The sequence below is a fragment of the Homo sapiens genome, chromosome 14 (genome assembly GCF_000001405.40).
Source record: "Homo sapiens chromosome 14, GRCh38.p14 Primary Assembly".
Lineage (NCBI taxonomy): Eukaryota > Metazoa > Chordata > Mammalia > Primates > Hominidae > Homo > Homo sapiens.
The window spans coordinates 100,696,465-100,720,349 of record NC_000014.9 but is presented as its reverse complement, the minus strand read 5'-3'; the positions used below and the strand labels follow the sequence as shown (position 1 = coordinate 100,720,349).

The window sequence follows — 23,885 nt, the reverse complement described above, 5'->3', positions numbered from 1 at the left end:
CCAATCCCATGCCTGCCAAGTCCCCTGGCTCCCACCCACTCACCCGCCCACCGAGGGTCCTGGCCCTCCCAGCCACCCTGGGCATCATCTCAGCCCTGAACACGTCTTCCTGCCTGGTGTTAATGGATTTTGCACGTGTGTCTGACCCCAGCAAGGCCAGATGCTTCTTGCTCAGCCAGGCACCCCGCAGCCAGAGGCCTGCGGCGCTGCCCTCGAGGTGTTTATGGATTAAGTGAATTAATGAATAAATGAATGAGGCACAAAGTGTTCTCTGAAGGTTACCATGGGCCCCTCGGAAAGATCCTGTGTCCTAGCAACTGTCCACGGCCTGGTGGCCCTCCCCAACCACCCGTCCTCTTGCCACCTCTGATCTCTGGGTTCCAGGGGGTTACTGACCCCCTTGGACTTGCAAACAGGAGAGCCCTCAGGGTTGCAGCGATGCCTCCACCTGGTTCTTTCCCCACCAGAGCCCTCAGTTCCTTCACTAGGAATGTGGGGAGTAGCTGTGTCGGGACCATCTCCAGCACCCCCTGCTGCCACCTGCCCCTGCCCACCACCCGCAAGCACCTGGTTCCTCTGAGACGCTCTCCATGAGCCTGTTCCTATGGCAACACTGCACCTCCAGAGGCCCAAGCTGGCTGTCTGCAGCCAGGATCCAGCTAGGGACGGAGCGCAGGGGATGCCCAGTGTGAGTGGAACCCCATTCCCCTCACCCCCTCACCTCCTCACCCCACCCGGGGTTGCTTAGTACCCAAATTCAAGTTTGCTCTGTTTGTAATGAGCCTTAGTTTGATCCCTGCCCAGGTGTGTGTGTTTCTCCTCCCCCTCTAGCAGTGGGGGCTCTCCTCTCAGCCAGAGAGCTGGATGCTGGAGCGCAGAGAGGCTGAGCAATTCTCCATGGGTCACAGAGCAAGGAATTGGCAGAGCAAGACTAGAATGTTGGGGAGTGGTGCCCAGGCGGGAGGACTATAAAAGTTGACCATAAAATGTCCTTTGAGGAACCCTCAGATTCCTTCATTTAAATGGGTCTCTCCAAGGTCTGGCCAAAAAGCCCACAGACTGAAAACAGAAGAAACCGCGTCACAAGAATAGAGGTCCAGTTGGAGCCCAGCAGGGGCTGTCACTTCACTGCTTCAGAGAATTTGGGGAAACAGCAGGACTGTCTCCTGGGCTGGTCACGTCCTCTCCCCACCTTCATTTTCTCCTTCCTTCCTTCTCCCTGCACCGGATGCTGGTCTGCCAGTCTGCCTGCAGATGTGCACACTAAGGTCCAGCTCTCTCTACCTTCATCGCTCCAGAGCTGGGGCCGGGGTTAGAGCCCCACAGCCTCCCAGGTGTCCCCTCTGGAGGTCTCTCTGAAACGAGCATCTCCCATTTGTCCCCCTCAAACCTCCTCCAGGGCCTCCGCCACCCTGCAGTTGGCCCAGCGAGTGAGGGCTTAGACTCCTGGCTCCTATAGCTTTGCCCTTTCTCTGTGCAAATGGGCCCCAAGCTCCAGGCACTGTCACTCCCCAGTCGCTCTCCAGTCCATCTCCATAGCCCCATTCTTTTCACCGCCACCCTGGTCCAAGCCTCTCTCCCTAATGGCTGTATCAACCCTGGGCCTGCCTGTCACCCCCATCCTCTCGGCTACAGGCCAGGGGTCAGAGGGAGGTTTTCTAGACGCACCACTATCCCGAGCAACCTGCTACTTAAACCCTTCGCAGAAGGAAAAGAGAGAGAAAGGGGGCAGGAAAGAAGGAAGGAAGGGGAGGGGAGAGGAAGGAAGAGCAGGGAAGGGTGCCTCCTCAAATTCACTTCAGCTCTCCCTGGGCTCCAAGCTCAGAATTAGGTGCACAGTAGGTTCTCATTAAGTATTCATGGGATTGAATTGCACCGTCCTATCAAGGAATCGATAAGGAAGCATTTGGCCGGGATAGGGACATGGAGATGGGAAATGGTCCCTTAAAGCCTGGGGAGACGCTCTTCCTTGCAAAGATTTGCCCTCAGCCTTTAGACCCTGCTCCCTTTCAGTGGCTTTTTCCTGCCTCTCTCGGATGAGCCAATTATCTCTGATTGTGTTTTACCTAATTCTTCCCTCTCTCCATGAGTGCTGGGCAACAGCCTTAGCTGTCTGTGGCCAGCAACAAGGTCCCCAGTGATCCACACATGCCACGGTGGAAACCCAGCTAGCACGTCTTCACCATGGTTTCTTTGGGTGGGGGGAGTTCTACTCACTAGAGAAGTATTTTCAGTATATTCAGTATTTTTTTCTGTGCAAGGCAGGGTAGCAAGAGAAGGAGTAAGGGCGGGTGAAGGGGGGGAGTAGGTGGGTGGCAGGTGGGTTTGGGGAAATGGTTCAAACTCTCGGCTTCTTTCCCTGTGGGACGACCACCTGGCCTGGAGGAGCTATGCAGGGGAGCTGAGAGCCTGGACGGGACACTCCTGCCCGGTCCTAGTTGCTTCGTATGTGTTCAGTATCTGCTCCTGGTCCTGACAAGGACGCTGGTGACACTGGCAGGATGGGGAAGGGCTGGGAGACCTGCAGAGGGGTGCTCAGGCCAGCTGTTGTCTGGATCTGGGGCTTGTAGCTGCAGCCCGTTAGGCTTGCCCGAGGCCTTGCCGCTGCCCTGGGCAGGAATGGTTTCCACAGTTCGTCATGGACCGCTCCTGGGGAGCTGCACCCAGCCTCTCCTCTCCCCCCTTGACAGCTTGAGTTAACAAGGAGACCAGGAACGGTGAGGCCTATGTGATTCAGACAGGGTCCCCGCAGGAAACAGATGGTGCACACAAGATGGTTAATTTGAAGAACGTTGAATAAAGGGCCTACTTACAGAGATGTGGGCAGGGTGTAAGGAAGCCGGAGGGGTAACAGCAGGCCCCGTTACCCCATAGGCCTGCAGCTAGAGAGAAGAGTGGAATTACCTGAACCAGAAACCGCGGGAGTCAGGTGGAGAGGGTGGATGAGTGTGGCCTTTGGTTGGGGAGCCCCCAGTCTCTGTGCAGGGAACCTGACCTTGCTCTCCTCCCTCCCCTGATCTGTTGGGGATCCTGTGGCCCCACCTGGCTGTAGCCAGCTGATACAGACCATCTAGGCAGGCCACCCCATGCACAGACAGGGGTGGAAGACAGAGGGTGGTTCTGCAAGGGACCCGAGGAAAAGCACATGAGCAACCCAGAGCTTCACTGAATCCAGTGGCCTCCTTCTCAGTAGGGGAAACTGAAGCTAGAGAAGCCTTTCCATGGCAGAGCTGGGATTTGAGCCCAGGCCTCAGGCTCCTGACCCTCGCTGCTCTCGTGTGTATGGCAGTTTGAGGCAGTGCCGGGCCGTGGAAGAGGTTCCAACTCCCCCCTCGGCAACGGTTGGCTTAATGACATTCACACTGGGTGGGCAGCCAGAGTTAGCTGTGCTGGTGAACTGCTCAGCCAGGAGGCTGCCAGTCTGGGGTGGGGGCTCCTTTCTCCTCCAGGGCCTCCCTCAGGCAGGCCTGCCAGGAGCCAGGGCTGCTGAGTGCCAGGTGTGGCCACAGCCACACGGCCTCCTGTGATGAGAGGAACCTTACTGGACCATGAAGGTGGGTAGCACCTCAGCCACTAGACAACAGAGATCCACACTCAGTGGGGGGTGACATCTGCAAGAGCTAAAAGTGGGCAGAAGAACCACTATAGGCCCCATGTCAGGATTTGGGTAAAGTCCTGGGTAATTTTGGGCAAAGCCTTTCCCATCTCTGGGCCTCAGTTTCCCCACTTAATCTTCCTTGACTCTGACTTCTTACCTGTGCCCAACACCTGGCTGCTGGGATGGGGCAGAGACATAGGCTTGTTGCTGTAATGGCCTTAGTGGGTGGGGTAGCCCTGGACCAGGTGGGAGAAAGACTGGGGGACAGTCTGCAGTCAGAAGACCATGATTTAGGGTGAGACCACGATGGTGGTGATGGAAGGGTGACCAGGAAGATGGTGAGTCGAGAGACTGAGGGAATGAAACCCTGCAATGCAACGGCAATGGGACTGGGAAAGAAGAATGCACAAAGCAAACAGAAGAAGAATGCACAAGGGAGACAGAAGAAGCTGCCCAGAGACAGGTGGGTGCAGAGGTTGGGGGATCTCCTCTCGGTCAACTGCCCCATTGTCCTCTCTTGGTCCTGCATTTCCAGCCCGTCACTGCACTGGCTCCTTCCTCAATGCCCATAAACACTCTGAAAACTCTTGTCTTTATAGAAACAGAGAGGAATCCCAGACTCCAAGAAAGAAAGAGTGAGGGAGTGGCCATGGGTCCAAAATGCCCACAGGGACATCAGTTAAGATAAAGATTGAGATTAGTCACTGGGGCCTTAGCGGGATGTCCCCAGGGCAAGTGGGAGGAGGAGTCACAGGCAGAGTGACAGGCCAGGGAGTGAGCAGGGGGCCTGGGTTGGAGGCAACAGGGAGAGGGGTCGTTCACTAGCAAAGGGCTTCAGGATGCAAAAGTGAGAGAGAGAGAGAGAGAGAGTGTGTGTGTGTGTGTGTGTGTATGATTGTGTGTATATGGGTGAGTGTGTCTGTGTATATGAGTGTGTGTGACAGTGTGTATGAGTGTGAGTGTGTGAGTGTGAGCATGTGCGTGTGTCTTCATTTAAATATAGGAGCAACTCTAGGGTGTTTACAGCCTGAGAGGCTGCAGATGCTGAGCGAGAGCATAATTGATTAATTGAATGAGGAGAACACAGTCTCCATCCTCTGTGGTTCCTGGTCTGCTAGGGAGACGAGGATTTGAACCGACACCTCCACTAATCTGTATGCATAAAATTGAGTTAGCTGCGCCCGTGTGGGTGAGGTGGCCTGCAGCCGTCTGGGACACAGCAGGTGCTCTGTGACTCTGCTTCCCCTTCCTGCACGTCAGCAAAGAGAAAGGCTCTGAGCAGCCCAGGCCGTAGGACGACACCACTGTCCTCACAGGAGGAGCACAGGCCTTAATTGTGCCTTTAAACTTTCAAAGTGATTTCACATTGATTTTATTTACTCCTCAGAACCCCAAATTCATCAGGCTCTGCCCTTAGTGGCCAGGGAGACACTCTGCGCTGTGCAGGGTGGAAGGAAGACTCCGAAGGCCCCAGCTTATGTCGGGTTCCCCTCTGTGCCCCAGCCATGCAGTAAGGGTCCAGGGAGTGTTTGTTGAGTCAGTATATGATGGATGGATGGAAGTGGTGCTGTAGGAAAGCTGTCTCTCTCATTGTTGTACATATGGGTAAACTGAGGCCCAGCAAAGGACTCTTACCCAGAGCTGTGCATGATAGCTGATCTTTGGAAGCCCTAATGCTTGTCGCAGTTCAGTTTTTGCCACTGTTCAAACATTGAGGGCCCCCACAAGAGTCACAGCAGCCCTCCCCCTGGCTCCTTCTGAGAAAGGCAGTGGCAGCTGGTGGCTGTGGGCTCTGTGGCCCACCCTTCCCTATGGACCTGTTGACTCTAGAGTCTTCTTGGAGATCCGGGCACAGCAGGTCTGCAGGGCGCATTTCCAGGCAGGGTACCGAAGGCTCCTCCCACAGGGCTCCCCGACTCCACCACCCTCCTCACAACGGTAGCATGAAGGACAAGGACGGCACCTCCCTGCCTCCAAGGCCTAGGCGACCTTTCTGTGACTCACCTGAAATGCCATCTCCCCTGTCCACCAATGGCGAGCCCACCCCATGCCGAGTGCCACCTCCTCCTGGAGGGCTTCCCTGAACACCCCTGCCAGGCAGAGCCGTCCACCACGATCCTTGCTGCTGTCAGGCCCCAAGGGCTTCTGAGGCTGGTGGCTGGGTGATTGGGTGTGGCTAACCACACACGCTTCCCAGGGACTGGAAGCTCCTGGAGGGGTGGAGTGGAGTGAGGAGGGGCCCCACCTCCACCCTGCCAGGCCTTTTCAATACCCAGGGGTGTGAGACCTGGTCACGCGCTGGTGCTCGGCACAGGCTGAGCAGTGCTGGCACAGCTGCAAGGGGCCACCCTGTCTCCCTCCACATGGCTGACGGGTTGTCTGCCAGCTGGGCCACCGACAGGACGTGGGCAGGGATTCCCTGGGGAGGAGCCACCACGGCTTCCTCGTGGTTCAGGGCGCCTGTTTCGGCGGCTCCGATGGCCTGCATGTCCCTGTTGCCAGTATTTTTAACTTGGCCCAGCTTTTAATAAACCCTTCATGAGTGGAGAGCAGTAAACAATGATTTGAAGACTTGACTAATTAAAACACCACTCTGTGGTTGCAGAGGGAAGCCGGCTCCATCCCGAGGGAGGGCCCTTCCCCCGGGGGTCACTAGCAGGCTCCACGCTGCAAGCCAAGCGCAGCAACGCATCCAGACCTGGAAACGAGGGAATCCATGATGCAGCATGGAGGAGCTGCAGCAGGGACCCCACACGCACCTCCCCGGAGCCTGGCCCCATCCCAGACCCTGCCACCTCCTCCAGGAAGTCCCCCTCACAGATGTGCAGCACTGTGCTCCTTGTGGTGCCTGGGAGCAGGCCAGGGTCCTTTCCTGCCCACCCCCAGGGACAGCTGCTCAGCCTGGATCTCCACCTGTCCCTTGCTCCGTCCTCTCTCTCCTGCTTCCACATGCCCAGCTCCACTTTCTCTCTCTCCTGCTCCTGTACCGAGGGCACTGCGGCCATTCATCCGGGGCCCTGGGAGGGGTCAGCAGGCTCTCCCTCTGCATCTCCCTCCGTCTCCCCATCAGTGCTGTCTTTACTCCATGATCTTGGTCCCCCTTCGGAGCCCCAGCATGAACCTCTCCATCGGCTCCTCATCCGGGAGAAGGTCGTGAGAAAATCATGCCCCAGGCCTGCCTTCTGCCCTCACTTCTCCGCAACCCCCCAGGCTCCATCCAGCCCCTCCTGGACCTGCACTGTTCCTCCTGCCTCTGCCCTGGGAGGGTCCCTGGAGGCGGCTGGGTGCTCCCGAGGATGAGTGCTCCTCTCCTCAGCAGGAGTCTGTGGGGGAGGAGCTGCAGAGTATTCCACAGGGCAAGCAGTAGATGCTTAATAAATATCAGAGAGACTCCACACACACACACACACACACACACACACACACACAGGAGGGGAGGTGGGCAGACCTCCTTGGACAGGGTTGGGTTTTGCCAGAAACCAGAGGAGATGATTATCCTTTACATGTGACCTCAGAGATCCCCCAACCCTAAAAATACCTACTCCCTGTCCCACCGACCCCCATGCCAAGCCTCAGTCCAAGTCAGCGGTGGGAAACCCAGTACCCAGTCCTGCCCACGCCACCTGGCTGGTGCCTTTGATTGAAGGGGTGTCTTGAACTTCTCCCGACTGCGGTGAGCACATTTGTAAGATGGGGTTAAGGACTCTTGCCCTGAGAAGAACCCCCTCAGAGCTCTGGCATGGCCGTGGTGAGCTGGGGCTGGAAGGAGAGCCTGGGAGCAGAGCAGCGACACCTCGGTTATCACCATTTGTCCCAGTCGTGGTTATTACAAGAATTAAGAACGTTCCCGCTGGCCTTTAAGGTCATCAAGCCTCTCTCAAGGGTGGAGGTGCCTCCCTGCTGGGTGGCCCTGGGGACCCAGACCACCTACTTGGGGGTGGCCAGGCGATGAGTGGCCAGTTGGACCACCTGTGGCTATCCGGAGCCCCTCCCCCTCCACCCAATTGTCCTGAGGCCTGCACGGTTCTACCTGTGATAGGGAACACTGCCTCGAAGCAAGCCCTTGGCGGCATTCCCAGGTTCCACCTCTGCCTGCCTCCTCCCCAGCCCTCCTGGCTTGTCAAGACAGAAGCTGGCAGGAGGGGTTTGCAAACATGAATCATGGCATTTATTCCTATGGTCTCTGGCCCCGACTTTGTAAAAACACCTGCAGGTGACTCTTCCTCCAGAAAAGGGAGGCCGCTGGTTTTTTCTTCCCCCAGCTTTGCCGGGAAAGAGGCAACAGGGAGTGCTGGAGGGCGGACCGTGTCATCGAGACAGGCACATTTTTCGGGGTGTGTAGTTACCAACTAATTAGCAAGTCTGGAGACCACGACTGCGGAACAAGTGACACGAGGGCCCTGGAGGGCCCAGATGCTGTTGCCTACCGGCACATTGCCTCTGTGGCCCTGAGGCAGGGGACGAAGTCTGGGGACAGCCCACCGGGAACCCATGGGCCAGCGGGGAGCAGGCCTGTGGGACACCCAGATGCTCCGGCCCACTGCTGGGGACATCACTGCACCTCCCTCCCGCCCAGGCCTCGGTTTCCCCCTCTGGCTCTGGAGGTGATTATCACAAACCTAAAGGCGGCCTGGATCCTGGTGCCTGCTCCCCTCCCACAACCCAGTTCTAACACCTGGGTCACATATGCCCACTCCCTGTCTGCCCAAGCCAAGCGTCCTGCAGTGAGGACCTCCGTCCCCTCTCCATGTGCTCTCTCAGTCTCAGAGCCCTCCTGCCTCTGGGGCTGATCACTTCCCAATTTCCCACTCCCCTCTAGGCCTCGAGGCCTCAGTTCCTATTGTTCCCTCTACCCAAGGAGCTTCCTCAGCCCTGTCACTTGTCAAAACACAAGCCTGTCCTCCAGGGCCGTCTGGGTACCGAGAGGTCCAGGCCACCTCTTTCTCCTCAGGAAGGCAGAGGCCCCTTGGCACGCTCACAGGAAGAGCGGCAGCTCAAGGCCGGAACACGATTACCAAACCCGAGACTTCTCCCTGGGGCCCCAGCCGGCCTGGGACCTTGAGGACAGATTTCAGGCAGGCATGCCTTCCTTCAGTACTGCCCCTGGGGAGCGAGCAGGCTTCTTGCTGCTGGAGGAAGCTGGGATTTAGTGAAAGGAGGCTAATGTGGAAGAGCAGACGGACAGATGGCCTGTGGGCCCAGGGCACACTGCCTACGCCTCTCTGAGCTTCGGAGTGGTGCCTGTAGCATGGGAATTATATAGGACCAGCTTCCTAGGTCCACCAGGCCCTAGTAAGTGCCCGGTGGAAGCTAGCAGGCACAGGAGGAAGGACGGGACAGCACATCTGACCAAAAGCCCCAGGTCCAAGCACAGCTGCCCAGAGCCGGACAGAGCCCAGGCAGGTCCCAGGGGGCCTCTCCTTCCAGCCGAGCTGCAGGAGTGCTAAGGCGAACCAGGCAGGGCCTGAGAGCCCTTGGAAGGCTTCCCAGTGGAGGTGACCTTGGGGATGGGCCTTGAAGGGTACACATGAGTTTGCCAAATGCAGGGGAGGGGGAGGCCTTCCCGGCAGTAGGACAAGCTTGAGCCAGGGAAGGTTAGGGCGCCAGTGTGCCTGGCTATTCTGGGAGACGAGTCCAAGGCCCGGCAGAGTGAGGGGAGCAGCTGTCCCTGAGGAGGCCGAAGGTCGGCAGGGCTGCCCAGCTGGGGTCCTGAATGCCAGGCCGCTGGGCAATGTCTTTGGGGAGCCTCAGACAGGCTCTGAGAAGACGAAAGACAAGGTCAGAGCTTTAAAAAGCTGCAGTGCGGTCACTCTGGCGGCCACGACAGAAGCAAGAACACAAGACAGTGACGACCACACAGAGGTCATGGCTAGGCCAAGTGGAGCAGCAAGGAAGGCAGAAATGGGGGGCTGGGGACGTGGAGGAGGGGCAGGAGGAAGAAAGCCATGAGGAGAAGCCAGGAGGAGAAGCTCCCCAAAGCCTCACTCCCCTAGGCTCTTGTATAAAACAGGGAAAATTACGCTTGGAATATCTCCTACATCGTGAGGTTAACAAAAAGGAGTTGCAGAACAGTGTGTGTAAAACGAACTCATGTATGTAAAGTGAAAAAGAATATATACAAGATCCCCTTTCCTATTGATCTGTTTGCACATGCCTAGACGCTTCCGGGGATCACAGGAGAAACTGACTGGCGCTGGGCTTTGGGAGTGGCTGGGGAACCCCAACGGGAGGACTACCTGCTTTGCACTTCAAAAGAGAGGGCCATCTATTTTATAATTGAAACCACTTTTAACATAAAAAGAAACTGGCGGGGGCGCAGCGGTTCACGCATGTAATCCCAGCACTTTGGGAGGCCGAGGCAGGTGGATCCCCTGAGGTCAGGAGTTTGAGACCAGCCTGGCCAACATGAGGAAACCCCGTCTCTACTAAAAACCCAAAAATTATCCACACATGGTGGCCGGCACCTGTAATCCCAGCTACTTGGGATATTGAGGCAGGAGAATCGCTTGAACCCGGGAGGCGGAGGTTGCAGTGAGTTAAGATTGCACCACTGCACTCCAACCTGGGTGAAAGAGAGAGACTCCATCTCAAAAATAAATAAATTAATTAATTAAAATAAAATAAAATAAATTATAAAACGAACCGAAACAGGCAAACGGTTAGAGAAGGCCAGCATTTGTCTCAGGGGAAAGCACAGCCAGAGGGGATCGGGGAGGCTTCGCGGGGCTGGAAGGTTCCAGAAGGCTTGACTTTCCCCACCTGGTGGTCTACCCGGCCCGCAGTCCCAGCCCCATGTCCCCCCCACCCAGGGGCAGGACTCCCGCCCTGCGCGGCCCCAGCTCCCGCTCTCCGTGGCGAGCCCGCCGCGCCCCCTGCCGGCGCGCGTTGGGGAGGAGGGGCGGGACGCAGAGGCTGCGGCTGGGCTCCCGGGCAGGCGCCGGGCTTTCTCCCTGGGTTGTGTATGTTTCTTAAAAGAATGATACGTGTGGCAAAAAAAAGATAAGAGGGGAGCCATTATTAATGAGAACAGGTGAGGGGAGGATATTCATGATCGTTTCGAGCCTAATGAAGCCTGCCGAAGGTTCCCTCCGGAATGATGGATTCCGCGGGGCCGGGGCGCTCCCATCACTCTTGTCCTCGGAGCCGACTGTTCTCCCGGCTGCCTCCGCACAGCCCGCTCCGGAGGACAGGAGCGAGGCTGATAACAAATTTTGGGAACATAGAATTTCACACCTCATCGCACAGGCATTAAGACGACAATACAGCGGATGACTTCCTCCCGCTGGCCCGCCCCCTCAGCAAGGAAGGCCAGGCCAGGGGAGGCCTGGGGGCCGGCGGGGCCCCAGGGAGGAGGGTTGGGCTGGGGGGGCGCCCAGGGCTCGCAGAGCCCCTCAATTGTCCTCAGGCCCGGCAAGTGGAGGCGGGAGCGGTGACAGGGACAACGGGGATCTCTGTCCCACCCATCACTGGGATCGCAATTGCGTGGAGAGGGAAGGCCCCAGAGCCCACGGAGCCGCTCTCCCCGTCCAGGCCCCCGTGAGGCCCACTGCAGCCTAGCTCCTGCTCCTGACGTCGGTTCCCAGCAAGTTCAGCCAGGTGGCTGGCTGTTCTCACCCCTCCCGGGAGCTGCACAGACAGCTGCGTTAGACAGAACGCAGGCCACAGGGCCGGGCAGTGAAACTTCCCATCACCCGAGGCCGAGCCGGCCAAACGGCTCCCCTGGCGTCATAACGGCCAAGGCCGGGCCACCCTGGCTGGAGGGCGCACGGGAGGGGCGCAACGTGACGTTTGGGAGTACAGAGCCAGGGAGAGGGGGCCAAGTCAGGGGCCGCCGCACAGTATAGGACGTGAGGAAGGAGGAGCCCGCTGCCCCGCTCCCCTACCTCAGCGTCGGGTCTACCCTGCCCACCTTCACCATGTCACAGCAAGATGCGCCCCCTTTGGCCCAGCCCCCAGGTGACACACGGCCCGGAACTTTGACCCGCCTTGTGCAAATGTGAGCCTATTACCAGCACTGCCCTTGTTCCCAACATTTGGGGCACAGAGGGGTCCTTTTCTGTCCCCAGAGCCATCTTGAGTAGAATGAGGAGAAGAGGCGTTTCCAGGCCCTCCTGGCCCAGTTGCTCGCTGGCCCTCAGCTGCCAGGAAGGCGGACATTTGAGAAGGAGCAGGGAGGGTGTGGGGCAGGAGAGGGGTGGTGTCCCAGCCAAGGGCAGCAGGAGCCACCCAGAGGCCTTGGCCGGTAACTGACGCCAGCCCTCACCTGGAGGGCCAGGTGAGGCCAACTCTGCCCCTCCCACCTCCTGTCTATGCCCAGCAGGTCCATGGCCGTCAGAGGAAGCCCAGGGTGGTATCGCATTCGCTTCCCCTGGCTGCCCATCTGAACCCAAAGCCCCTTGAGGGCGGTGAGCAACGCCTGCTGGCTAAGGGGTGCCCCTGAGCAGGGGGTGAAGACACCCCGCCAAGCTGCTGGTCTTTCAAGTGGGATTTTAAGGCCGGGTAGAATTTTTAAAAATGAAAGGTAAATGGAGTTGTTTTTCTTTCTGAAAACAATAGATGTTATTTAAAGAAAATGTAGGGGAGGCTGAAAAATCCAAATAATAAATCATCCATCGTTCCTCTGCATAGGAAACATTGACATGGAGGTATTTCCTTCCAGTCTTTTTTCTGTTCATTTCCCTTCAGTTTTGTTTTACATGCCAGAGATCATGCTGTCTCTGTGATCTTGTTTCTTGTTGGTTCTTATACAGGAGACATTCCCTATGTTTATCTAAATTCAGAAGAGACAAAGTATAAATGGCTGCATAACAGTTCGTGGAGTGGTTGGTACCACAGCTGGCTGCTAATCTTTTACTTGGGATATTTAGGATTTAAAATTTTACTTTTGATTAGGAGAAGCAGGTCTGTCATGGTGTCATTGTTGTCTAACGATTTTCCCTTATTTCAGGTTAATCGCTTTTCAACAGTTTTTTTTTGAGACGGCGTCTCGCTGTGTCGCCCATGCTAGAGTGCAGCGGCACAATCTCGGCTCACTGCAAGCTCCGCCTCCCGGGTTCATACCATCCTCCTGCCTCAGCCTCCTGAGTAGCTAGGACTACAGGCGCCCACCACCACGCCTGGCTAATTTTTTGTATTTTTAGTAGAGACTGGGTTTCACTGTGTTAGCCAGGATGGTCTCGATCTCCTGACCTTGTGATCCGCCCGCCTCGGCCTCCCAAAGTGCTGGGACTACAGGCGTGAGCCACTGCACCTGGCCCTTCAACAGTTTTTTAAAAGTAGAATCTCTGTTTCTAAGATAATAGAAATCTTACAACAGAAAAAAGGGATTTTGTTTGTTAAACATAAGTAATATGTATTTATTTTAGAAAACTTAGAGACAAGTATAAAGAGAAAAACACAAGTTGCCAATAAACTCATGAATATGGGTATATTTATGATCCAGATGTGAGTGTATAAGAGTCAGTGTCTGTGTGTGTGTGTCAGTGAGTGTGTATGAGGGTGTGTGTCAGTGTGTCAGTGTGTCAGTGTGTGTATGAGAGTGTGCGTGTGTCAGTGACTGTGTGTATGAGTGTGAGTGTATGTCATTGTGCGAGTGTGTACATGAGGGTGTGAGTGTGTGTGTCAGTGACTGTGTCTGAGGTTATGTGTGACAGTGACTGACTGTATGAGGGTGTGTGTCATTGTGTGTGTGAGGGTGTGAATGTGTGTGTCAGTGTGTGAGGGTGTGAGAGTGTAGGTGTGTCAGTGTGTGTGTCAGTGAGTGTGTGAGGGTGTGAGAGTGTAGGTGTGTCGGTGTGTGTGTCAGTGAGTGTGTGAGGGTGTGAGAGTGCGTGTGTGTGAGGGTGTGAGTGTGTGTCAGTGTGTGAGGGTGTGAGAGAGTGTGTGTCCGTGTGTGTATCAGTGTGTGCACACACGCATCTATGGAGACAGGAAACTGTCTCAAGCTTCATTCGCCAACATTTCTTAAGTGCTCCCCGGGACCCAGCCGCCCTCTGTGTGCCCGAAAGTCGACCCTGCCCTCTTTTACTTCTGGCCCGGAAGCAGCTCTCCTTCCCCAAGCCTGACAGTGCCTCGTGGTTTGGAGGTGGGGGGACACGCCGACTGCAGCCGTGAGAGCTGCTGTTGCCCCCAAAGCTGGAGGTCACCTGGGCCCCGGTCCCTACTGACACTGTGTCTCCACACCCTGCTCCCCCAAGCCCCATCACCTTCACAGGCCCAGGAGGAGAGCATCCCCCTCAGTGCATCCGTGGCTCAGGCCAGAAACCCTGGAGGCCTCCGGAGCACTCTCCTTCTCCCGCAGGACTTGCTGATTTTATCTTCAAAACGTGTTTGGAATCCCACCACTTTGTCTCTCCATGCCACCACCCTCGAGGCCCACAGCTGCTCTAGCCTGGATCGTGGCGACCATCTCGCAGCTGGCCGCCCTGCTTCTCCTGTGCAGGGCAAGCCTTTCCAAGCCAGGCCACCTCACGCCTCACCATGGGGCCTTTGCCATGGAGCCTCCCTCTTCCTTATCTTGCCCCCGAGCCCCTGGCTGTTGCCTGACGCCCCTTCTCTCGTCGCTCACTCTCTGGTGCCTCCCTAGTAGCCACACTGGCCCCCTTGCTGCAGCCCCGAGCCCGGTGCACAGCCTGCTCAGTCCTCTAGCCCCCTTGCTGCTGGCCCGAGCCCGGTGCACAGCCTGCTCAGTCCTCTGGCCCCCTTGCTGCAGCCCCGAGCCCGGTGTACAGCCTGCTCAGTCCTCTGGCCCCCTTGCTGCAGCCCCGAGCCCAGTGCACAGCCTGCTCAGTCCTCTGGCCCCCTTGCTGCAGCCCCGAGCCCGGTGCACAGCCTGCTCAGTCCTCTGGCCCCCTTGCTGCAGCCCCGAGCCCGGTGCACAGCCTGCTCAGTCCTCTCCAGTGGCCCGGGGCTCACTCCTTCACCTCCTTCAGGTCTTGGTCAAATTCACCTTCTCAGCGAGGTCTTCTACTGCCCTCCCCTCCCGCCAGCCCATCCCTGTATCCCTATCCCCATTCCCGCTTTATTTTTCTTCAAGCACTTGTAGCTTATAAAATGATTTAGGGATTTATTTATTAATAGCACTTGACCGCTAATAAAGCCTCTGCACTAGTCGATGCCCGTAACCCTCTATTAGCGGGCATAGCAGTGGGTTGTCCTCACTTCCCAGGAAGGAGGGAGGGATCCGGCTCGGACTGGGTGCCCGCCATGTGCCAGGTCCTCTCTTGGTCCCCATTTTGTTTGGTTTGGCTTTGTTTTAAAACAGTCTCGCTCTGTCACCTAGGCTGGAGTGCAGTGGCATGACGAAGGCTCACTGCAGCCTCAACTTCCTGGGCTTGAGTGACCCCCAAGCCTCAGGCTCTGGAGGAGCTGGGACCACAGGCAAGCACCACCACGCCCACTAAGGTTTTCGTTTTTTGTAGAGATGGGGTCTCTCTTTGTTGTCCAAGCTGGTCCATTTTGTATAAGAAGAAAGAGATTCTGTCACTGAGTCTGTTTCCCAGAGACTCTGTAGTAGCTGGGGGCATTCCAGAAGGCCAGGGTAGCCACACCCCAATCAGCCCTGCGAATGCTATTTCAAAACCTCCTCCTTCCCTACCCTGGTATAGGTGCCAGGAACTGTGTGGGCATCTGAGAGCCAGGGACTGGCAGGAAACTGTTATGTACCTCCAGCTCCCTGAGGTCCCCACCTCGCCTTTTTAAACAGACTCGACCCAACCGTGTGGCTTCACCCTGTGGTGAGGAAAGCCCTGCCACGGACATTGGCCCGGACCCCTGAAATCCATCCAGACCAAGTACCTCCATCACCACACCCAGCCAGCCCTCTGCATCTCCAGTCCACTTTGGAATTTTTAGCTCCTCAGCCGGGTCAGTGCTCACGTGGGTTGGATTCACTCACTTGGACCAAGACTGGCTCTGCCTCTAGTTGGCACCACCTGCCCTCCACCTGTCTCACATCTGGGCTCCAGGGTGGACATGTGCTCGCCACTCCTGCTCCCATTGTCCCTTGGACCAGCTCAGGTGGCTCAATACCCACCAGATGCCATCAGAAGAGGGTGACTGGAGGGGGCACCCACATGGGACAGGAGCCGCAATGTCAGGGCCCCCACTGGGATTCACAGTGCCCACTCCACATCCTGTCCCTTCTCTCTGGTGAGGTCTGGCTCTGGAAAACTGTTGAGGGTCCTACTTCTCCTCTTGGTGAGCCACACAGAATCCTTTCCGCCCTTTGTCAACCCAGCACCAGACTCACACCCTCGATGTTGACAGTGGCTGCCACCTCCACCAGCAGCAGTGAACATTTATTGCACACCTGAACCTTGCGCCAGGCACTGTGCTGTGGACTGTACCTGTATTACCATATTTTATCTCACAACCACTCCACCTTATAGACTCGTCCCCATTTGTCCAAAGGCAAAAGGCTCAGAGGGGTTAAGGACTTTGCCCAAGGGTACGCAGGCTAGTCCAGTGGGGAGCCCAGACTAAAACCCACAGCTGCAGGGGAGTTATTCCTGCATCGACATCTCCCTTTCAAGTCATGCTGCCAGGAGAAAGACAGCCGATTCTCACCACACACCCACCCGCCTAAGAGGTCAGGTGGCCTGTGGTCTTCAGGAGCTGGCATCCACCCCTCCACAGCCTTAGTCGCCTGTTCCTCCATCCTGGTCTGCCCTGTCCTCTTTGTGCAGTGGTGACACTGATAGAAATCAACCCAGAAGTAAGCAAACAGGTTCCCCGAGTTCAGGAACCGAGCTGGGGAGGGCCGGGAGCTGGGCTGGGTCTGGAGATCCAGGATTCAGATCACGGGTACTGCTGCCTCAGTCTTGGCCTCTAAGCCCAGACTCCTCATCCATAAACTGGGCAGCGTACTGCCTTCTGTGCCCAGCTGTCGAGAGACGCAGGCAAGGAGGGTTCTGGGAAGGAGCATAGACTGTGCAGGCCCCACCCTTGAGGGAGACTCAAGAGTATTCGAGACCAGATCCCTTATTCGGGCACTACTGAAGTCCAGCCATGGTCAACACGGGCCGAAACAGACAGACAGACGGCCTTTATCAACCCCTCCCCGACACCTGGTCCTGCTACTGACCAGCCCCAGGAGACAAGGCTGCAGATGGACAGGCTGAGACTGCAGGCCTTGTTCCAGGTAGACACGCACAGCTCCGAACGGCTGCCCCGTCTGGCCTCAACAGCAGCCCTCCTTGTTTGGGGCCTTGGCGGGTGCGGGGGGCTGTGTTGATCTTGGAGGGCTCACAGGCCCTCGTGGTGTTCCCAGAGAGGTGTTCTGTGGCTGCTTTATGGAAATAATTTTATGGTCCGTGTAGGTGCTGGGCCACTCCCATCCTGCTGATATTTCCAGGCTAAAACTACCGTGGTCACACTCCATGGTGAGGAGTGCTGGGGCCCAGCAAACAGGACCAGTCTCGAGCAGAGCCTCAGGTGCCGGATACATGACTTTGTTTTTCTACAACTCAGCTCCTCTAAGGACCGTCCTGGGGGTGGCAAGAGCTGACTCTTGGTCCCCTGTCCTCACTCCCTACACTCCTCTTCCCGGCATTGGGCTAGCACAGCAGGCAGCTGCTGGGGGCAACAGGCTCTTGGTGTTATCTCAGAGACCCAGGGTACCCGTGCCCTCCTCACCCACCCATAGCACTCCTTCCACCTCAGCACAGGAGCTCACAAGCCTATTTTGAAACTAAACCATCAAGAATTAACTTCTAAACAGTATGGAGGCTCCTCAAAAAGTTAAACACCAAATTGCTATATGATCCAGCAATTCCGCTGCTGAGTATGCAGTCAGAAGAACGGGAAGCAGGGTCTCCAGTGGATACTTGTACACCTTTCACAACGTAGACATTCAATGCAGCATAATTCATGAAAACCAAAAGGTGGAAACCACCCAAATGTCCATCGATGGATGAATGGGTTAACAAAATGTGGTGTGTGCACACAGTGAAGTATTACTCAGCCTGGAAAAGGAAGGACATTCTGACACATGCTGCAAATGGATGAACCTCGGAGATCTTATGCTCAGTGACATCAGCCAGACACAAAAGGACAAATACCGTATGAGTATACGAGGTTCCCAGAGTAGTCAAACTCGTAGACAGAAAGTAGAAGTGGTAGTTGCCAGGGGCTGGAGAGAGGGGAGATGAGGGAGCTGTTGTTTAATGGGCACAGAGTTGCTGTTTAGGATGATGAAAACATTCTGGAAATAGATAATGGTGGTTTTACAACAATGTCAGTGTACTTAGTGCCACTATAAAATGGTTACAATCATCAATTTTATGTTATATAAAGTTTACAATTTTTTAAATCACCAAAAAAAAAGAAAGAATTAACTTCTTTGTTTACCCTTTTCTGCTGTATCTTCCTGTGTCCAAAGCATGAAGGTAGATGTTCCCAGGAAACTGGTGCTCAATCGAGGTGATTTTTGTCCCCCTCCAGGGGACATTTAGCAATGCCTGGGGGCATTTCTGGTTGTTTCAATCGGAATTGAGAAAGGGTCGCTGGAGCCCAGTGGATAGAGACCAGAGTTGCTGCTGAACACCCCACGATGCACAGGACAGGCCCCCACAAAGAATCCTCCGGCCCCAAAGGCCAAGGTCAGAAGCCCTGCCCCAGGAGAAGGACCCCAGATGACTAAAAGCAAAGCATTCGTGCTTCAGAAATACCAGGAGCAGCTCCTTCTCTGTGTCTTGGTGAAGAAACAAAATACTTTCTAAGGGGGAAAGAAAAAGTCTTATTCCTGCACTAGCTGGCATCCTGTGGCCGGACTCCAGGGGCAAGAGGTGCGCAATGTTCTTTTGGGGGCCTCTGATGACCCCTGCCCAGTAGACTGTGAGCTCTGTGGCTCAGTACCTGTCTGTCCTCATTACACCCCCTCCCCAAAATGCACCTCCACAGTGCCAGCCACAGCGAATGGCCTGCATAGGACCGCCAAGGCCAGCCCTGTTATCCCTGCGCACTGAATCCCACTTTCAGGGAGTACAGTCGGGCCCCCTCCCCCCAGCCCAAAGGCCACCAAAGGCATGGAGGAGAGGATTTAAAGCCAGCTAACGAGTCTTCCTGTCTTCCTCCTCCCCAGGCCCTTCCCACTCTGTCCTTTTCAGATTAGATACCTACGTGATTGAGACGTTCCTGGCAAAAGCAATTTGTTTAAAGCAATCTGTTAGTACTTTGTGGACTCACTTAACTGAAGGGTCTGGGGAAAGTATCAGGATGTCAGGCATGGGTGGATCCAGGAGCAGATGGATCTTATCAGGGTTCCCTCTTCACCTAACCACCTTTTCTTTCTGCTCAGTCCTGCTCTCCCTTGGGCCCTGGCCTCATTCCTTCTTGAAGCAGATGACCATCTCTACGATGTCATGAAAGATGGGACAGCCCCTTCCCGCTCACATTGTCACCATAGCTCACAATCCCCCAGTGCACGGCAGCTCATCTCTCTGTTCCAGCTCATAGGAATTCCCAAAACGGACTCTGACCACCACCCATCCACCCCACCCCCAGCTCCACGTCACGTCCCACCTTGTGGATGAGGTGGGGTACTGTGGTCGGCTGGACTGTGTGCCCAAACAAGACAGCAAGAGCTTCTCAAAGGGGAAAATGCCAGAAAACAAAATCAGAACATATGCCTCCCACCTCCCAGCCAGACTAGGGCCAGCCCAGCAGAGACAGGGGCTCAGCCTGGTGTTTGCTGTCCCTTCTCAAGTTGTTCTTACTCGACAGTGCTTTCACCTGCCCCGGACAGAGCCCTAGCCCACGCTCTGCTTCTATCTCACACTACCATGACCCCCTCTTCCTGCTGGCCACTAGGAAGCTCAGTGCCCCTCCCTGTGGCCTGCCCACAGGGTCTGCACAGCTTCATGCTGGCCTCTGTGTGCCTCACCAGCTCCCTTCCCCCTGCCCGGTTTGCCCTCATCCCAGCCTCCCTCTACTTGCTATGTGGGTGTCACTAGATAAGCCACTTTAAAGCCATTCTGGAGCAGAGTGAAGGAAGAATAACATCAAGGCCTTCAACAGTGACATTGTGTGACAGCTGGATTTTTCTTCAATTTTTAAGGTATTAACACAGAAGGAAATCTGCGCGGTTCTGGGGCTTCGGGATTGACAGCCTGCAAGGGGATCCTGCAGGTGTATAGGCAGAGGGTATTGACCTGCCCGGCCCCTCATGAGGCCAAGGATGGATCTGAAGAACAAGCTTGGTCCAGAGCACTGCTCAGAACTATGTCACAAGCCACCAAGGCCATCTTCAGATCTGGGTGAAGGTGGAATGAATGAATGAATGATTGGATGAATGAATGAGACCTGAGCTTTCCCACTTCCAACCAGCACAGAGCCTCATGGCCTGGCTTTCACTAGGAGCGTGGATCCTCCTGGGGCTGCAAACTGGTAACCACAGAGCCCTTCTTGCCCTCCCGCAGCCCCCATCCACCTGCCTTGCTGTGGTGGAATGGGCAAGCCCTGCTCCCACTCCCTACCAGAACCTTGCCTGGGCTCCAATCCTAGTCCTTCCATCCACCAATGGTGTCACCTTGGGCAAACTTCTGTCAGCTGCCATTACAAATTTCCACATCTTGGTGGCTAAAAACAACAGAAATTTATTCTTTCATTGTTCCGGAGGCCACAAGTCCACAGCTCAGGTGTGGGCAGGGCCGTGCTCTCTCCAGAGGCTCTAGGGGAGGGTCCTCTCAGGCCTCTTGCAGCTTCTGGTCCTCCAGGTATTCGTTGGCTTGTGGCAGCCTCCTTCCAACCCCTGCCTCTGTCTCCACACAACCTGCGTCTCGTCTCTGTGTGTCAAAGGACACCTGCAAGGGACTAAATATCCAAAGGGACAGTGGCCATACCATTGAGGTTTGCTGTCCCTTTTCTTTTTTTTTTTTTTTTTTTTTTGAGACGGAGTCTCGCTCTGTCGCCCAGGCCGGACTGCGGACTGCAGTGGCGCAATCTCAGCTCACTGCAAGCTCCGCTTCCCGGGTTCACGCCATTCTCCTGCCTCAGCCTCCCGAGTAGCTGGGACTACAGGCACCCGCCACCGCGCCCGGCTAATTTTTTGTATTTTTAGTAGAGACGGGGTTTCACCTTGGTAGCCAGGATGGTCTCGATCTCCTGACCTCATGATCCACCCTCCTCGGCCTCCCAAAGTGCTGGGATTACAGGCGTGAGCCACCGCGCCCGGCCGCTGTCCCTTTTCAAGTAGTTCTTACCCAACAGTGCTCTTGCCTGCTCCCAGACAGACCCCAAGCCCACTCTCTGCTTCTATCTCACTCTGCCATGACCCCCTCTTCCCACTGGCCACCAGGAAGCTCAGTGCCCCTCCCACAGGGGTCTGTTCTGAAAACAGAACGCTGACCCACACCTGCAACAACCTGCCAGGAAACTGACCCCACATCCCCCATAAACAGTGGAGGAAGCCAGCCTGCAGTGAGCCAGGCTTGCAGGAGGCCCGATAGCCATCTCTAGTGACAATGCAGGAAGCTAAACCGTGGCTTCTGTGACAATTGGCCCCAAATGGCCAGGACTTGACTCCTAACTGACAGCTTCCTATTTTTGTCCCACTTCTGACTAACGGCCAACCAGAGAAAGCCAAATATGCACCCTAGCCCATCCCAGGTGATGCCCCGATGCTAGGTAGGCACCTCTGGCTCCCCCACACCAACAGCCTCCGGTCAGAGCACACCCAAAGCAGCTCCAGCTTTCCCTGCGAAGCTTCTCCGCTCCTCTTCCCACCTTTGAGTCTCTGCCCAACACAAGTAGTGGTAGCTGAGCCCAGTCTGCAGAAAGCTCTGGATAAATGGCCTCTGCTTCTCTCGTTTGAGCGGCCCTTGTTTATTTCCACACTTGTCACTGTATTTAGGGCCCTCCCAGATAATCCGGGATGATCTCAGCTTGAGATCCTTCACTTAATTTCATCTGCAAAAACCCTCTTTCCAAATAAGGTCACAGCCACAGATTCTGGGAATCAGGAGGTGGACGTGGCTTTTTGGGGCCACCATTCACCCACTACAGCAGGTACTTCGACACTTTTGGCCTCGGATCATAGGAGGACCTGCCCCACCTGGCTGCCCGGATGGTAAGTGAATACGTGCTTAGAAAGCCCTGGATCAGAACCTGGCAGGAGACACAGTGCACAGGTATCCATTACTGTTCATAGAGTGGGGAGGGGAGGCCCCGCAGTGAAGACATGAAAAAAACAAATCAGCAGAGCGCAAGGTTTCTTTTTGGTGATGGAAACGTTCTAAAATTAGATTGTGATAATGGTTGTACAATTCTGCAAATTCACTAAACACTATTGAATTAGATACTTAAAAGGAGTGATATTTATGATGTATAAACTCCATCTCTGTAAAAGCTGTTGAAAAAAACAAATTTAACTAGCAGGGACGGAAAAGGTTTTCTGGGAGACCCTGGCCCTCTGCAGCCCAGGAGAAGAGAGAAACACTGCCAGGGGCCGTGGGGCCATGCGGTGGGCAGCCCAGAGCCGCGGGGTGAGCCGGAGCCACACCCATGAAGACTCATGGTGGGGAGGGAGGTTGTGAAATGCTGCCTTTCTAAGGGTTGAGGCCTAGGAGCTCCTGGGCTATTGGGATCGGATGATGTGCATGTGGCCGGGCATTGAGGGGTGAAGCCCCTGGTGCCCAGTGCTCCAGTAGCCGGTAGGGCTTCACCTGGGACCCAGCCTTCGGTCCTCTCCCCAGTACTGTACGGCTCACATGGCTCCTGAAAAACAATATTGTCATCTTCTGATCCTGTGTCTTTAGGACTTGGGGTTCCCCATGAAAGCCCCTGGCTTCCACGAAGCCCCTCAATTCCAGCCTTACCCGCCCCCTCCCAGCCCTGCCCCCCAGCAGCTGTGTGACCTTGGATGAGCTGTGTAACCCGTGCTGGGGTGATGGCAAAGGCTCTCCTACCACCCTCCCCCACCCCTCCAGCAACCTGTTCTCCCAACAGGCAGCACCTGCAGCATTCCTCAGAGGCCACTCCCTACTGTGCCCACCCAGGAAGGAGCTGAAGACCCTGGGAAGTTAAGTCCCCCGCAGCCCCTGTCTAAGGCGTGTGGATCCCCCAGGTGAGCCATGCCCCTGAGCCCAGGTGTGTCTGGGACAGCCCTGCCTGGTTTCCTCCCGGTCCCTGGCGGGCCCCAGAAGCCCTTCCTCAATCATCAGCTTGCACCCAAATCCCAGGCTAAGGGTCTGTTGTGGGAACCCATTGGAGACACCCTCTCATAGGGCTACTGGGAGGATTAGGTAGGTTACTACATTATTATTATTATTATTATTATTTTGAGGTGGAGTCTTGCTCTGTCACCCAGGCTGGAGTGCAGTGGCACCATCTCAGCTCACAGCAACCTCCGCCTCCTGGATTCAAGCAATTCTCCTGCCTCAGCCTCCTGAGTAGCTCGGATTACAGGTGCCCACCACCATGCCCAGCTACTTTTTGTATTTTAATAGAGATAGGGTTTCACCATGTTGGCCAGGCTGGTCTCGAACTCTTGACCTCAAGTCATCCGCCTGCCTCTACCTCCCAAAGTGCTGGGATTACAGTCGTGAGCCACTGTGCATGGCCCAGGTTACTACATTTAAAAGAGTAGTGCTGCAGGCATTACCCCACCCTGTCCACAAGACACATGCAAATAACATGGGGCACTGACAAGACTGGATTTAGGAAGTCCACAACTTCCCCGGTTTACCTTCCAGTGTCCACTAAGTCCAACACTCTCCCTGTCTCCATGATTACCACAACACCCAAACTCTCCAGCTCCACAAGGGTTTGGCAGGCCACTGAACCAGACAAGAAGACTCTGAGCCGCCGCTGCAAGAAACCAGCCCCTGGCAGCAATATTTACATGCTGGTCATGCGTGTTCCAAAGGAGCAGCACCAGAGGGTTTTGCTACTGAGTGGAGAGCGCGCCTGGCTCGGATCAGTCCTGTGGAAAGCACAGTCTGTGCACAATCACACGGGCAGATCAAAGACCAGCTGCCTTCCCACAATCTCGGGGGAAGATGGTGCAGCCAGGGAACTTGCCTCAAGCCTTCAGTATCAGATAAGGCTGAATGTGTCAGTGAGAAGAACAGAGCTAAGAGTACCTCCATTCAACTCCTCACCAACCAGTTCGGTGGTGACGTCGGTTGGCTCCTTTATGTTGGATTAACAGGGAGGCTGGAGATTTGGATTCTTTTTTTTTTTAGGTCTTTGGATGTCATGTTTATGGCTGTGATTTTGAAGACATATTTATCTGATGATAAAATAACTAGGAAAGGAATTTTCAACAGAGTGAGATTTTTGTAAAAGA

General features: G+C 55.5%; 1 long non-coding RNA gene across 1 annotated transcript, besides 4 other annotated features; it reads right to left on the bottom strand.

The window, feature by feature from the left end:
* Positions 2,079-3,010: an enhancer, noted in NCBI's record as "H3K4me1 hESC enhancer chr14:101183677-101184608 (GRCh37/hg19 assembly coordinates)". NCBI's record gives its function as "activates a minimal SCP1, AML or CMV promoter by ChIP-STARR-seq in naive H9 embryonic stem cells {active_cell/tissue: H9 hESC(naive)}" and the evidence as "EXISTENCE:reporter gene assay evidence [ECO:0000049][PMID:30033119]".
* Positions 3,011-3,944: an enhancer, noted in NCBI's record as "H3K4me1 hESC enhancer chr14:101182743-101183676 (GRCh37/hg19 assembly coordinates)". NCBI's record gives its function as "activates a minimal SCP1, AML or CMV promoter by ChIP-STARR-seq in naive H9 embryonic stem cells {active_cell/tissue: H9 hESC(naive)}" and the evidence as "EXISTENCE:reporter gene assay evidence [ECO:0000049][PMID:30033119]".
* Positions 5,523-6,034: an enhancer, noted in NCBI's record as "H3K27ac-H3K4me1 hESC enhancer chr14:101180653-101181164 (GRCh37/hg19 assembly coordinates)". NCBI's record gives its function as "activates a minimal SCP1, AML or CMV promoter by ChIP-STARR-seq in naive H9 embryonic stem cells {active_cell/tissue: H9 hESC(naive)}" and the evidence as "EXISTENCE:reporter gene assay evidence [ECO:0000049][PMID:30033119]".
* Positions 6,035-6,546: an enhancer, noted in NCBI's record as "H3K27ac-H3K4me1 hESC enhancer chr14:101180141-101180652 (GRCh37/hg19 assembly coordinates)". NCBI's record gives its function as "activates a minimal SCP1, AML or CMV promoter by ChIP-STARR-seq in naive H9 embryonic stem cells {active_cell/tissue: H9 hESC(naive)}" and the evidence as "EXISTENCE:reporter gene assay evidence [ECO:0000049][PMID:30033119]".
* Positions 10,599-11,283, bottom strand: LOC105370669 (uncharacterized). The gene is made up of 2 exons (XR_944211.1): positions 11,213-11,283; positions 10,599-10,796 (listed from the first exon to the last, which is right to left on the bottom strand). It is a non-coding gene; the product is annotated as an uncharacterized LOC105370669 (long non-coding RNA).
* Between the last annotated feature and the right edge of the window lie 12,602 nt (positions 11,284-23,885).